Consider the following 16548-nt stretch of genomic DNA (forward strand, 5'->3'; position numbering starts at 1 on the left):
TTTCCCGGTCTGTCTACATTTTTATACAGTTCATCTTTTACATGCTAGTAAAAGTAATACTGTGCTTTAAAGTTTTTTTTGTTTGTTTGTTTGCTTGCTTGTTTGTTTTTAAATAGGAAGGAGAATCTGATGTTTTTTGTTTGTTTGTTTGAGACAGAGTCTTGCTCTGACACCCAGGCTGGAGAGCAGTGGTACAATCTTGGCTCACTGCAACCTCTGTCTCCCAGGTTCAAGCAATTCTCCTGTCTCAGCCTCCCGAGTAGCTGGGATTACAGTCATGTGCCCCTGTGTCCAGAATTGGTTCCTTCTGGTGGGTTCTTGGTCTTGCTGTCTTCAAGAATGAAGCCGTGGACCCTCGTCATGAATGTTACAGTTCTTAAAGATGGTATGTCCAGAGTTTATTCCTTCAGATGTTCAGATGTGTCTAGAGTTTCGTCCTTCCAGTGGGTTGGTGGTCTCGCTGACTTCAGGAGTGAAGCCTCAGACCTTCGCAGTCAGTGTTCCAGCTCTTAAAGGTGGCGTGTCCGGAGTTGTTTGTTCCTCCCGGTGGGTTTGTGGTCTCGCTGACTTCAGGAATGAAGCCGCAGACCCTTGAGGTGAGTGTTACAGCTCATAAAGGTAGTGCAGACCCAAAGAGTGAGCAGCAGCAAGATTTATTGCGAAGAGCGAAAGAACAAAGCTTCCACAGTGTGGAAGGGGACCCAGTGGGTTGCCACTGCTGGCTCAGGTGGCCAGCTTTGATTCCCTTATTTGGCCCTGCCCACGTCCTGCTGATTGGTCCATTTTACAGAGCACTGATTGCTCCATTTTACAGAGTGCTGACTGGTGCATTTACAAACCTTTAGCTAGACACAGAGTGCTGATTGGTGCATTTTTACAGAGTGCTGATTGTTGTGTTTACAATCCTTTAGCTAGACACAGAGCACTGATTGATGCATTTACAATCCTCTAGCTAGACAGAAAACTTCTCCAAGTCCCCACTCGACCCAGGAAGTCCAGCTGGCTTCACCTCTCACCACCACACCTGGCTAATTATTGTATTTTTAGTAGAGACAGGGTTTTGCCATGTTGGCCAGGCTGGTCTTAAACTCCTGACCTGAGGTGATCTACCCACCTTGGCCTCCTTAAGTGCTGGGATTACAGGTGTGAGCCACTGCACCTGGCCAGAATCCAATGGTTTTTAATATAAAAAATAATAACAACATGAAATAGCATCTACACGTAAGTCATCACCATAATAATTTCAATTTGGCATTAGTACGATGGCATAGATATCAAAAGCACGTCACATTTACTTCGCCCTCAAAACAAACAAACAAACAAACAGGAAATAAGGCTCAGGTAACTAAAAAGTTAGAGAAGTGCTTCTCTTCTTGATGTGTAGGAAGCAAGAGCTTCACAGGTACATCTTTTAAGGTTCTTCCCCAGGCCTGAAAGCTTAAGGAGATGAATAACTCCTCCCTTCTCAGGCCTGGTACCAAGGTGCAAAGCTACTTGCAGCAGCAGCGTGCGCCAGCAAGATAGCAGAAGCAGGAAGAGAGCCAGCCGGAAGACATGTACCTCTGAAGATCAAGAAAGAGGCTATCCAGGTACAACGTAGCAGTTAGGTCAGACTAGGACACTTCCTGTTTACAGGAGACTATAAAACCTTTGCCCCATCCTCACTTGGTGCTGATGCCATTTTAGGCCTCAGCCCGCCTGCACCCAGGCACTCATTAAAACAGCATGTTGCTCCATACCGCCTCGTGTTATTTGTTGGTGTGCTCTCGGGGTTCGAACCAATACAAGGACTTTACACATCTAATGTTGAAACCCTTGACTCCTTTTGAATTTGTAGATAAACCTGCAGCATCACTTGTTTGGCTGTTACTACCTTCACCCTTTAAATATTTACCTAGTCAGATGGGACAGGGAGAATGGTCAAAACCAAACTGGCACATACAACTCTGAATGGGCACATGCATAGACTCTAGGAGCCTGAGGTCTCATCAGCCCATACTCCCTCCCTGCCTTGGCACTATTATTTCTCTTGCCACTGGTGCTTTATTCGTTGGATTTTGAGGCTAGAATTTAGGACCATGAAATGTATTTTTTGGATCAAGAATTCAACCATGTTTCTAAGACATGGATCTGTTGATGGCTAACCTAAAAAAATTCTTTAAGAATGAAACACATGCTTAGCCCCTAGGAAGAAGAGCAATGGTGTCCATGGAAGAAAACCTGATTCATTCTCAATTTGGTAGTCAGTTCCAGCAATTGTTATTGTCTGATTTTCTCCCCACCTCCTTCCTCTTGCCGATCACCTAAAATATCTTTGGAGGGCCAGCTCATTTCCATACTTCAAGACTCAGAGCACTGAACAAAGTTGCCATTGTCTGTTTATCTCCACAAAGATCTTAGGCAAACAGGATAGAATTTACATCTTAGTTGTTTTTAAGAGAGCTCATGAACTCGGTGAAGTAGCTTTTGGTATAGGGAAAGCAAGTGTTACCACAAACGAAGGGAATCTAGGCAATTTCCTTCTTTTGCTTTCTCCGTTATTGAATATATTTATTTATAATTCACTACACACAAAAATCTTCTCATAGCTGCTCTGGTACATTCCTGCAGAGAATTCTGAATGCCATAGTGGTGATTAAGATATTATAACTACATAAATAGCATAATGGCGTCCCTTCATGAGCAAATAATAACTGAATTTGGTTTCCACATAATGGTAGTACTGAGTTCTATTTTTAAAGAATTCTGCTTAGGAATATTGAAGACAAAAATTGAATGCTTATGAAATAAGGGAAAATTGAAAATCCCTTATTTTCATGATTATTAAGGTTATTATTATTGATTAAAATGGTTGGAATTGAATCATTGCGAAGCGTTATTCTTATAAATACCATTCTTTTAGCATATTAATATACTTTCTTCCAACTAAAATGTTTACTGTGTAATAAAATTATTACAATGTAACATAGTTTTTAAGAAAACATGTTCTCCACCTCTATCAAATATCAGGATTTTCCCATATTTGCAAACGAGTAAGGGTGTATAGCATAAGTGCCCAATGGATTCTTTCTGCCCACTGCACAAACAAAATGAATTCGCAGACACCACGGCATTGCCATGAGAGAGTTTAACTGAAGCGAGGCCAGCCACACCATGGGAAAGATGGAGTTATTACTCAAATCAATCTCATCGAAAGTTCAGTGGTTAGGGGTTTTTCAAAGATACTTTGGTAGGCAGGGAGCTAGGGCATGGGGAGTGCTGATTGGGTGGGTTGGATATGAAATCATAGGAGATTGAAGCTGTCCTCTTGTGCTGAGTTGTTCTCGGTGGGGCCACAGGGGCCTTTGGCAGGTCCAGGTGGAGCCATAGGTAGTCAGACATGCAAAAAACCTGAAAAGAGATCTCAAAAGCCCAATCTTAGCTCTTCAATGGTGACATTATCTGCAGCAGTAATTGTGTGTAGTTGCATATCTTCTGACCTGCGGAATAATGGCTGGTGATCCCTTAAGGTTACCTCTACACCAGAGCAGAATTCAGGCTCCTCCATCCTCCTAACCTGGTGGTGGCTCATTAGCTTTACAAAGCTTCACCAAAGAGTTTTGGGGAAGGGCTATTATCATTAAAACTGCAAGCTACATGTCTCCCAAAGTTAGCTTGTCTTAAACCAAGGAATAATTAAGGACAGCTTTGAAGCCTAAGAGCAAGACAGGGGTTGGCTAGATCAGATTTCTCCCATGCCATAATTTTCTTACTGCTATCATTTTTGCAAAGTGGTTTTAATGATATGGTGTTTGAAGGCACAGACTCCAATTTTTTTGGGGGATGGAGTCTTGCTCTGTCACCCAGGCTGGAGTGCAGTGGTGCCATCTCGGCTCACTGCAACCTCCACCTCCCGGGGTCAAGCAATTCTCCTGCCTCAGCTTCCTGAGTAGCTGGGATTACAGGCGCCCGCCACCATGCCCAGCTAATTTTTGTATTTTTAGTAGAGACAGGGTTTCACCACGTTGGTCAGGCTGGTCTCGAACCCCTGACCTCGTGATCCACCCACCTCAACCTCCCAAAGTGTTGGGATTACAGGCATGAGACTCTGCGCCCGGCCGACTCCAATATTTTTTTGTAGTGACGGGGTTTTGCCAAGTTGCCCAGGCTGGTCTTGAACTCCTGGGCTCAAGTGATCTGCCTGTCTTGGCCTTCCAAAATTCTGAGATTATAGGCGTGAGTCACCACACCTGGCCTGTTGGCCTTTTCCTGATGAGTGTGTAGGAGCTGTGTTTTGTTAACACAATTCAAATATAAATCCTTTGTTGGTAATGTGTCTTGCAAATATCTTCTTCGAGTCTGTGGCTGATTTGTTTTGTTTTGTTCAGTCATTACTTCATTTATAGTGCCCTTTTGAATAGTCTTATTCTTCTCCAATATAGTCACAGTTGTCAATCTTTTTCTTTATGGTTGTGATATTTTTGTCTTATTCAAGAAAGTCTTTCTTGGCCCGAGGTCACAAAATATTCTCCTTTATTTTTTCCCTAAAAGTTTTAAATATCTTTATCTTTAGGGCTTTATCGTACTTGAAAAAAATAAAAGCAGGTTTTCACAGGATGTGAGGTAAAAATCTAATTTTATTTTCCATTTGGATAAACAATTGTACCAACTGTGTTTATTGAATAGCTTTTCCTTTCCCCACTGATCTGTAATGCCATCTATATCATACTTCAAGTTTCCTTATACACATGGGTCTATTCCTGGCTTTCTATGCTGTTCCATGGGGTTAGCTGTCCTTTGACACTATCACACAGTCTAACTTCCTCTAGCTTGGTGGGGAGGGGTAATATATCTTGCCCATCTTCTAGGGAAAACTCTCCTTCCACCTCCCACACCACACAATTGTGCTGTCCTCCTCTTTAGACGTTTAAAATTTTCAAGTTTGTGTGCTTGATCCTTTACTCTTCCCTATTAATTTTATGATTAGCTTATCTAGTTTGCAAAAGACTGTCTGGACACTTTGATTGAACTTAACCTTATAGTTTGCCTTAAACTTATAGATTAATTTAGGGAAAATCGTATATTTAAAATTCAAATCTTCTAATCCATGTATGCTGTGTCTTGCCAGATCTTCTTCTATATCATTTGACAATCTTATAATTTGCTCAAAAATGTTCCTGTATTTTTTTGTTAAATTTATTTCCAAGTTCTTATGATTTTGTTGCTATTATGATTGGAAATGTCAACTGATTACATATTCTGATATTCTTTTTTTTTGAGAGGGAGTCTCGCTCTGTGGCCCAGGCTGGAGTGCAGTGGCGTTATCTCGGCTCACTGCAAGCTCTGCCTCCCGGGTTCACGCCTTTCTCCTGCATCAGCCTCACGAGTAGCTGGGACTACAGGTGCCCGCCACTACGCCCAGTTAATTTTTTGTGTTTTTTAGTAGAGACGGGTTTTCACCGTGTTAGCCAGGATAGTCTTGATCTGCTGACCTCGTGATCTGCCTGCCTCGGCCTCCCAGAGTGCTGGGATTACAGGCAGTGAGCCACCGCGCCTCACCCATATTCTGATATTCTAATAGAGTATAGAAATAGTATTAATTTTACATGGTGATCTTATTTCTAGCAATCTTGACTAATTTTCTTTCCTTTTATGTTTTTCTGAGATGGAATCTCACTCCATCACCCAGGTGGCAGTGCAGAGTGTAGTGGCGCGATCTTGGCTCACTGCAAGCTCCGCCTCCTGGGTTCACGCCATTCTCCTGCCTCAGCCTCTGGAGTAGCTGGGACTACAGGCGCCCACTACCGCGCCTGGCTAATTTTTTGTATTTTTAGTAGAGATGGGGTTTCACTATGTTAGCCAGGATGGTCTTGATCTCCTGACTTCGTGATCCACCAGCCTCGGCCTCCCAAAGTGCTGGGATTACAGGCATGAGCCATGGTGCCCAGCTGATGAATTTTCTTATAAGTTCTACTAGGGTTTTTTTTTTTTAATTCTCATGGATTTTTCTCTATAAACAGTTATATCTTTTAAAAAACAAATTGTACCTTTCCTTCTAATATTTATACCTCATATTTCTTTCTAATCACTTGTCTTATTATCTCAGAAATATATTACAATATTTAATAGAAATTGATATAAGGTAAATCTTTGTCTTCTGAACTCTTACTGGAATACTTCTAAAGTTTAACCACTATTACGTTTGTAATAGATCATTATTTCTTAAAATAACTTTATATTTGTAAGGCCTCTGAACCCAAGTCAAGCCATCGCATCCCCTGTGACTTGCACGTATACATCCAGATGGCCTGAAGTAACTGAAGATCCACAAAAGAAGTAAAAATAGCCTTAACTGATGACATTCCACCATTGTGATTTGTTTCTGCCCCACCCTAACTGATCAATGTACTTTGTAATCTCCCCCACCCTTAAGAGGGTACTTTGTAATCTCCCCTACTCTTAAGAAGGTTCTTTGTAATTCTCCCCACCCTTGAGAATGTACTTTGTGAGATCCACCCCTGCCCGCAAAACATTGCTCTTAACTTCACCGCCTATCCCAAAACCTATAAGAACTAATGATAATCCACCACCCTTCGCTGACTCTCTTTTCGGACTCAGCCCGCCTGCACCCAGGTGAAATAAACAGCCATGTTGCTCACACAAAGCCTGTTTGGTGGTCTCTTCACACAGACGTGCATGAAAATATTAGCTTGGAAATGATTTTTATTATGAATGAGTGTTGCCTTCTGTTTCTAGTCCTTACTAATATTTACCTTCGTTTTGATCATATTTATATATATTTGCTTTATCTTTGTATTTTATCATTCTTATGTGTTTGGATCAGACATAATCGTGTAAATGTGAAATTAATGTCCTACACTGTCTAGTAGTTTCATTATCACTGTTGGAAATGCTTCTTCCCCAGTGCCATAAAGAAATACCGCTTGAACATAAGTTTATTTAGTAAGGCCATTTTTCCTTCCTGCAGAACGGGTACACTCTCCAGCAGTTTTGCCACAAGAGTACAGCGAACAAAGGAGACAGGATCACTTATCACCTGATGCATCCACCCTACTGATGTGTCTGGTTTCCACTGGCTGGAATGGGACCTTATATTTGTATTTGTCCCGGTTGGCTAGCAACTTAGAACTTTTTAAAAGAGGCAAAGGTAGAGGAGAACAAAGGAAGGAGGAAGTAACTTGTGGAATGCTAAGAAAGGTAAAAACACTTTTAAATAAGGAAGAGGAACAGGCTATGATCTAACGTTTGCTTGGACCAGTATAAGCATGTCAGGGCAAATATTTAGGCTAAATTGTGGGAGCTAAGAATGTAAAGTTCGTTGATTTCTTTCACTTGCGTCCGTGTGAAGAGACCACCAAACAGGCTTTGTGTGAGCAACAAGGCTGTTTATTTCACCTGGGTGCAGGCGGGCTGAGTCCGAAAAGAGAGTCAGGGGAGGCAGATGGGGTGGGGGTATAGGATTTTGGTAGGTAGTGGAAAATTACAATCAAAGGGGGTTGTTCTCTGGCAGGCACGGGTGGGGGTCACAAGGTGCTCAGTGGGGGAACTTTTGAGCCAGGATGAACCAGGAGAAGGAATTTCACAAGGTAATGTCATCAGTTAAGGCAGGAACAGGCCATTTTCACTACTTTTGTGATTCTTCAGTTACTTCAGGCCATCTGGATGAATACATGCAGGCTTGGGCTCAGAGGCCTGACAATTTCCTTATTACAGCTAGCAGATATTTAAGAATGTTAGCACAGGTCTTTGAATAAATTTTGCTTCTAAGAGAAGTTACTATTTATTCCTAATTAGATGGGGAAAAAGTCTTTGAAGAGGAACCTCTACTTTACTTTTTACAATCACATTTTTTAAAAGAGAAAAATTATAGTCACCAAATAATCCACCTGTCAGGCCTCTGAGCCCAAGCCAAGACATCGCATCCCCTGTGACTTGCACATATATGCCCAGATGGCCTGAAGTAACTGAAGAATCACAAAAGAAGTGAAAATGCCCTGCCTTAACTGATGACATTCCACCACAAAAGAAGTGAAAATGGCCGGTCCTTGCCTTAAGTGATGACATTACCTTGTGAAAGTCCTTTTCCTGGCTCATCCTGGCTCTAAAAGCTCCCCCACTGAGCACCTTGCGACCCCCCCACTCCTGCCTGCCAGAGAACAAACCCTCTTTGACTGTAATTTTCCTTTAGGTACCCAAATCTTATAAAACGGCCCCACCCCTATCTCCCTTCGCTGACTCTCTTTTTGGACTCAGCATGCCTGCACCCAGGTGATTAAAAGCTTTATTGCTCACACAAAGCCTGTTTGGTGGTCTCTTCACATGGACGCGCATGAAACCACCTAAGAGATTAAAAAGTAGCTTTCAGAAAATCCAAGTGAAATAAATTAACTGTGGTATTGCCTAAAATTCCACCATGGGATTTTTCTATCTTTTCAGCATTATGTTGGATTAGGCAAACATTTGATCTTTGGTTATATTTTAATGAAGGTATCACTTTTACTGTTTCTTTAATAACAGGAAAATAATTTACACAGTTATCAAGAATTTTCAAATGCTGAAGTATTCACAGTGCATAGCAGAAGTTGGCAAACTTTCCCTGTGAAGGGTTAGATAATAATTTTTTTTTTTTTTTTTTTTTTTTTGAGATGGAGTCTCCCTCTGTCACCCAGGCTGGAGTGCAGTGGCGCGATCTCCATTCACTGCAAGCTCTGCCTCCTGGGTTCACGCCATTCTCCTGCCTCAGCCTCCTGAGTAGCTGGGACTACAGGTGCCCGCTACCATGCCTGGCTAATTTTTTTGTATTTTTAGTAGAGACGGGGTTTCACTGTGTTAGCCAGGATGTTCTTGATCTCCTGACCTCGTGATCCGCCCGCCTCAGCGTCCCAAAGTGCTGGGATTACAGGCGTCAGCCACCGCGCCCGGCCGATAATAAATATTTTGTACTTTGTGGACTACATGACCTCTGTTACAGTTTCACAACTCTTCTGTGGCAGCGCAGCCACAGACAACGTGTAAATGAATGAGTGTGGCTGTGTTCCAATAAAACTTTAGTTGCAAAAACAGCCAGCAGCTGGATTTGACCCATAGGCCATAATTTGCTGACTTCCAGTCTGCAGTAATCTGATTAGTTGTTCAATAATGTAAATGCCATCATATAAAAGTATTAAGTTCATGAGGGAAAAATTAACTATGCTTAATTTTTCGTAGTTCATTATAATAAATAGACAAGTAAAAGTGAAATTTTGATTGAAAAATGGTTCACATGCTGATAATATGTTTTCTGAATGTTAGACTCAAAATGAATAAGGTACCTGCTCAGAAAATTCAATGGATATGTTTATTTTTACTTGTACTGCTGAGGTTCAATAAATGTTAATTAGTCTATATTGTATAACTCAGTAACAATAGTAACACTAATGAATTTACAAGTTATAGTTATTTGAGATTATATGTATATTAGAATCCAATGTAAAGCAATCCTTTCATTGACATCTAAATTATTTAAGGATATATGTACAACTACTAGAGGGGATACTAATGAGACCATGATATGAAAAGCAAGATAGACTTTAAACTATAACAGAACATAGAAACTCCAATGTCAAAATGTTTCCACATGCTCTCAAAAATTATCCACCAAAGAGGAAAATCAAGAGTTTTGTACAGGTAGTATGGAATATTTTATAGCAAGTGTTGCTTTTTTTGGGATAATAAAAATTACAAGGACAGACCATAAGCAAAAGCTGGAAGAGCAGGCTGTTTCACACTCAGTCTCTCTTTTGTCTTACCTAATGCCAGTTTCTCTCATCTGAAGTAACAAGCATTCTATGTCCTCACATCTTGTCTCTTAGTAAAATCTACACACAAGAGCACATCTAATTATCTAATTTCTTTTTATTTGTTTGAGACAGGGTCTCACTTTGTCACCCAGGCTAGAGTGCAGTGGCACTATCATGGGTCATTGCAGCCTCAACCTCCTGGGCTCAAGCAATCCTCCCACCTTAGTCTCCTACAGGCCCTTGCCACAACACCCAGCTAATTTTTTGTGGAGAGGGTTTTGCCATTTTGCCTAGGCTGGTCTGAAACCTCTGAGCTCAAGCCATCCACCTACCTCGGCCTCCCAAAGTGCAGGGATTACAGGCGTGAGCCACCACGCTTGGCTGCACATCTAATTTTTACGGTGTTTGTGATTCTTTGCAAGACTATTTGGATTTTCAACCTGGCATTCATTGTGCACTGAAAATAAATTCATCCTTTGCTAACAGGCATTCCAGGCAGCAGTGAAGAGGTTGGGTAGGGAGGGTAAGGAAAAGGGTCTCTTGGTGATGGGAGGGTGGCCATCTTTGGGTCCTGCAGTCACACCTTTTAGGATGTTACCTGTTCAGACTATGAACCAGGCTAGTCCCATAAATATGGTCTATGTAGTCAGTACCCAAATGGACAAAACCTGTAAAACAAACCAAAGCAAGGAATTTAAGAAGCGGCAATATACGATCATCTAACTCCTGTAAGTTTTAGCTTCATCATAGTAATGTTTTCTTTCTTCTAGAAGAGAACAGCATCAGGGCACATTGAGGCTCAGAAATTTATATTCCAAGAAGAGGTGCACAGGAACAGAGCAGATCCAAAGGTAAATTGCTCATGGGTTCTAAACTGAGCTGGGTTAAGAGTTTTGGGATTCAAAAAGAATGCATTGTGCAGAATTGTGGAATGACCCTTAGAGATGTGAAATACTTGAAAGAATACTGAGTTTTGGAATGTTCACCTTAAGTCTGAGTAAAAATCTGTCAAAAATCCATGTAAGAAGCATAATGTTAAATTACCCCAATGATAAAGCCTGTCCCTTTTGCTTCATAGGATATTTCCGGTTATAAGAAAGGATTCTGTATATTAAAATTGGAGAAGACGTCACAAAGAAGGCCAAAAATGCATTGTTTTTGATAATAATGTGCCAGGCTTCAGTTTGGCAATCTGTGTAGGAGAACATTTGTGCAAGAGCCATCTCTATTGGAGAGGTTCGATCATCACATTGCTTTCTCTGTTGACTGATATTTTGAGAAATGAGACACATGGCAAGGAGAAGCCATGCTATTACTTTCAGGTGCCAAATGAAATGATTCACTTCAGGGCACTTCAAAATAAAAATAAAAGTACAAATATAATTTAGGCATAGATCATTCCTGAACTAATTTAACTGTGTATTTCTTACTAATTTAACTGTGTATTTCTTTAAAGCAGACAACCACCTGGAAGCAGTCATAACAACAGCAATAGCAAATCAATGCTGGTGAGCAAACTAAGTTAAATATTAACATCTAATTATATACTGTCTTGGAAGCAGCTGTGAGTTTATTGCCTTTTTAAAACAGTGCTAATAGTTTATAAATGTAGCATGCATCTAGTATCTTATCCTCACTGAAAACATAACTATTGATTTATACTAAACAAACCATAAATAAGTACGTATCTCTAAGGCTTATTGGAGTTATTTAGTGTTTCTATCAAATATATTACTAAGAACCATCTTTGAGAATTTTTTTTTCTGGAAAAGGCTTCCAGCACTTCAAACTGACATAATAGAAAAATCAAATAATATATATGCTTATGTTTAAGTATTTGTGTATTCTCATCAAAAAACTTGATTATCTAGGCAAGTGTACGAACCATAAAGTAATTAGAAGTTAATATAGTGTCCCCTGACTCTAGCGAGCACCTCAACCCTTAAGATATTTTTCAATTTCATGTTTAAAGACACAAATATAATTGGATCAGCTTTTCCTCAAACCAACTAATACAGCACAACTCCTGGAACTAAGGATGTTTTACAGATGCAGAAAAGAGACTGTCTAGGCAAACTGAATTTCAGTCTTTGAAACAAAAGCAGTGGTCTTGAGAAGACGTTTACCTGCTCACTTTTAAGTCAACTCATTTTCTTTCTTTAAATATAAAATAAACAGCTTTCTCAGGTGTTTTTAAAGTAGGCGTATATAACTGTATGTGTATAGTTTCTTTAACACTATCCACTGAGGATATCCAGTGAAACAAGAAACACAAGCCCTATCGTATAAGTCTAAACAGAAAGCTCTTGCTTCCTGGGAATGAAAATCTAATATTATAATGCAACATAAACCGGGTGAAGATGGGCAGTGTTAGGTAATTTTATTAGGTTTCTCTTAGTTCTCTCTGAAACTGGGGATATGTTAGGAAGAGGCAATGGCCATAAAAATACATTTTATAAAGTTCAACATATCAAAGAGAATTTAGAAGTAATTAATCTGTAAGATTACTGCCACAAATCCTATATTAATTATCAACTAATTAATGATGTGCTAGAACCCAGGATTCTGGTAATATTAGCTCTGCTCTAAAACAAATGCCAAATGGTTTCAAAGGACTTACTACTTATGACAGGAATAACACATATTAAAAAGAAAAGCAAAAGGATATTTTACATTCTTCTCAGTGGTGAAAGTCTGATAATTGAAAATTAACCTTGTATCATGTGGATAGTTCAGTTGTTAGAGAGCCAGAATATATATTTCCTAATAATATGGATCAAGGATAATACATAGTCCAGTCACTCTTGACTAAAGGAGTCTGACATTTTCTTCTTAAAACTGAGGTGAAAATTGATTGACTTCAGGTTTGTTTTTTTTTTTCCTCCAGGGGAAAAGATCAATTTTCTATTCTTATTACAATTTGTAGTGTGTGAGTGAGGTATGGCACTTTAGTGCTCTGAACACAATGAATCAGTGTGGTGTTCTGGTCAACACTTTTCTGACCATTTGTTAGCAGGCATTTTTGGAGATCTTGTAGCCATTCCACCCCTCCAGAGTCACCATAAATTACAGCTTGCCATTTTCAAATCTGCTTTCAGGTATTATTTCAGTGGCATTAGCATTAAAATACATTTGTTCAAGATAAATGAATTAAATGTAAGAATGATGAAAAAAAATTTTTTTAATCCTCTAATTGTAGAATATTGCCTCTCTTTAGATTCAAGATCAGCTAACATCAATTTGCCCCATTAGCTGCTTTAGACAAATTGGTCGAATAGCATTTGACTAACATTATAAGATGACAGGCTCTATCTTAATGAATTTGATTATGTATTCACTGGCTATTTGTGTGTTCTGCTTTATTGGTCTACAGATTACATGTGTAAGGTATAATCACACAATGTGGAGGGCACACATTTTCCTCTCACTGATTAACCTTTCTTTTCACATTTCTCAACATGGGTAATGAAATCAAAGCAGAAAGTGATGAATGGTGAATGGTTAATTCTAACATAAACCCAGGTGTTCTCAGGTATTAATATAATCAACGTGAGTTTGTAGGCTGTGAATTTTCAAAATGGCAGAACAAAACAAGGTGGAGAAAATAGACTTGGTTAAACCTAATTTTTTTTCCTACAATGTAACGCTGACAAACCAAATACTATCAGAACCAACTTCCATTTTATTGGTAAACTTTGATTGCTTTTCAAACAATCAGAGTAGAAATTTCTTAGATTAACACAGAAATTGAGAATCTCCAGAATCCAGGAGCATAGTTTTGCACTTTTAACAAATATTGTGATGTGTGGACAATAAAACTCACTAATTTGAGGCAAATAGATAAATCTAACATAAGAAAATCTATATAAAAATTGTGTAATTGGAAATAAGACTGCCGCGTATACATTGCCAACACTGCATCCCTGAAAAACAATCTACTTTTTCAAACAAGATCAAGTTTCCTGTGAATAAGTCTCACTGTTTTAAAATGACTTTTTGGAACATCTATGAAAGCACAAGAAACACAACTAGCTATTGGGAGGAACGGAAGTCTGACAGATGATGGAACATGATCAGAGCATCTCTAAACTTGAAGGGACATTATGAATCATCTAGAATAATTATTTTCCAAACTTCAATCATTTAAACACCACCCTCATAACTTCACCTATCTCTATACCTGTCTTTTTTCATTTGTATAAATTTAGGGGTTACAAGTGCAGTTTTGTTACATGGATATAATGGGTAGTGCCTATACCCTTCTTCATAAGTTTCCTACTGCTGCCTAACAAATTGTCATAAATTTGGTAGCTTATGCAACATGGAATTACTGTCTTGTAATTCTATAAGTCAAAAGTTGGACATGGATCTTATGGGCTAAAATCACAGTGTTGGCAGGGCTTTGTTCCTTTCTAGAGGCCATAGGAGAGAATAGGTTTCCTGGCCTTATCTTCTCGAGGCCACCCACATTCTTTGGCTGGTGGCCCTCTTTCTCCATCTTCAGAGCCAACAACATTGCATCTTGATGACTCTTTGGTCGTCACATATTTTTCTAACAACAGCTGAGAACGGTTTTCCACTTTTCAAAACTCATATGATCACAACAGGCACATTTAGGTAATCCAAAATAATCTCCCCATGTCAAAGGTTCTTAACCTTAATCCCATCTGCAAGATCCCTTTTGTCATGTACGATAACATATTCACAGGATCTGGGGATTAGGATGTGGACATCCTGGGGTGGGGAGCATTTTTTTCCTTCCACATCTTCTAATATAAGGTATGAAATATTTTGATGTAAGTTGACTTATTTACAGAAATTTTTATCATTGCTATAAATGGGAAACTAAAATTAGAATAAATTCTTTGAAAGTAGAACAAGAGTATCAGATCTGGTTAACTGGATATTATTGCCCCCTGCATTCTAGAACCTGTTGCTCTCTTGGTTGAAAGGTAGGTTAGCATGTTTGAAAAGTATTATGGCACCAATCTGAGGCTTTCCCTTAGGCCGTAATGGAGGGAGTGAAACTATAATTAAAAAGGGAATTGAAAAGTCTCATTAGGAAGGTCAGTGATTTTGAATGCTGCATCTGTGGAGTTCTAAAAATCATTTCATGACACTCTAATAGTTCATTTACCATTAGCAATGTATGTTCCACATTCTGAGAAGCTCAGAGGTAGTGATGCAAGTCACAATTGGTGCAAGAGGTCCCTGGGTAAAACCCTTGTCACCTGTCCATCCAGAAAATGGTCAGGGGATTTTTGGCCAGGCAAGAGCACTCATTAAGTCAATTTTTTAAACGTAAAAACTCATTACATATGGTGCTTCATTGCAGATAAATCTTACTCTCTGGAATTTCCAGCCATTTATCCTAGCTTGGCACTCTGTAGCAAGGCAGAACTGGTCAAATTACCCAGCAGAGTAGCCAGAGAATAGTTTGGACCAGCGTATCAGGATTCAAGTCACAGCTCCGCCACTCATTGGTGGAAGAATTTTGGAACAAGTCTATATTTTTTTAGGCTAAAGAATGGAGAATAGTATAATAATATTAATACCAACTACACAGGACTTCTGTGATGGTCAGATGTGCTAAAAATGTGTAATCTTTTAAGCCATGAATTTGGTGACCATATAATAATTGATTATCCAAATTAGAACATTCTTATGAACGAAAGAGGGTGCTATTAACAATTGTGTTGCAACAGTAGGCACAAACTGCGACTGATTCAGCAATCAGCATGCAGGTTCAGACTGAACACGGGAGACTTCATTAATTTTAGTCATTTCTGTTTTACGTGGAAGCTTTTCTAAATTTGAAGTCAAATGACCATATTATCTCTGTTTTTGGTTTGCTTTTAGCCAAATATGTCCATTTATTTCAAACATTTCAAATATGATATTTCTCAGTCTTTTTCTGGCCAGCCTCATATAGGTGGAATCTAGTTTTTAAAGTTTTGTTTTGGAGTGTAAGCAGAGTGTGGAGTGCCTAGGTTCAGATTTTTACTTCCAACGCTGATCAGCTTGGATACAGTTTTTAATCCCTCTGTATCGCAGTGATCTCTTCTACCTGCCTCACATAGTTGCAGTGAAGAGTAATGAGTCAATAGCTATAGGACTTAGACTCATGCTTGGCACATATAAACACCATGTAAGTGTTGTTAAATAGAATAAATGATGAGGCTACTGGAACTGAACAATACTCAAAACAACAAACTGCAATAGTTTATGACAGCCTATGCTAGACACTGGAGATAAAACAGTAAACAATAAAGGCACAGTCCCAGCCCTCAGGGAACTTCCAGACCTGCAGAGAGAAAAGGTGTTAAGCAAGCTGTCACATAAATTAATGATTTGCAACTGTGACTAGTGCTGTGAAAGAGAAAAGCAACTTACAGTGTGTTGCGCCTCTTTGGGGACCCAATTTTATCTGGCCAGTATAGACCACAGTAGGACAATTATGTCTGCTGTGCTGGCACCAGAATCCTATTAATGAATGTAAGTATTCATTAGCTCCCAGGCAACTGCATCACACTAGAAACTCACGTTCAGCTTGTGGTCGTTAATACCCTCAGGTTTTTCTTTGCATGTACTGTTGTCAAGATGGAATCCTTGGCTTTGTAATTCTCTAATTGATTTTTTAAAAAATCCAAATGGGGTTTTAGATTTATATATATATATGTGTGTGTGTGTGTGTGTTTGTGTGTGTGTATATATATATATATATTTTTTTTTTTTTTTTTTTTTTTTTTAGAGACTGAGTCTCGCTTTG

The 16548-nt window shown here is 39.2% G+C and overlaps 1 long non-coding RNA gene across 1 annotated transcript in view, besides 1 other annotated feature; it reads left to right on the forward strand.

The window, feature by feature from the left end:
- The window catches only part of LINC01908 (long intergenic non-protein coding RNA 1908), a 50682-nt gene that overhangs the window by 313 nt on the left and 33821 nt on the right, over nucleotides 1-16548 (forward strand). The window contains exons 2-4 of the long non-coding RNA XR_002958212.2: nucleotides 228-385; nucleotides 10550-10630; nucleotides 11236-11287. This is a non-coding gene — a long non-coding RNA (long intergenic non-protein coding RNA 1908). The remainder of the gene's footprint in view (nucleotides 1-227; nucleotides 386-10549; nucleotides 10631-11235; nucleotides 11288-16548) is intronic.
- Nucleotides 7981-8693: an enhancer, noted in NCBI's record as "OCT4-NANOG-H3K27ac-H3K4me1 hESC enhancer chr18:24812317-24813029 (GRCh37/hg19 assembly coordinates)". NCBI's record gives its function as "activates a minimal SCP1, AML or CMV promoter by ChIP-STARR-seq in naive H9 embryonic stem cells {active_cell/tissue: H9 hESC(naive)}" and the evidence as "EXISTENCE:reporter gene assay evidence [ECO:0000049][PMID:30033119]".

The sequence above is a fragment of the Homo sapiens genome, chromosome 18 (assembly GCF_000001405.40).
Source record: "Homo sapiens chromosome 18, GRCh38.p14 Primary Assembly".
Classification (NCBI taxonomy): Eukaryota; Metazoa; Chordata; class Mammalia; order Primates; family Hominidae; genus Homo; species Homo sapiens.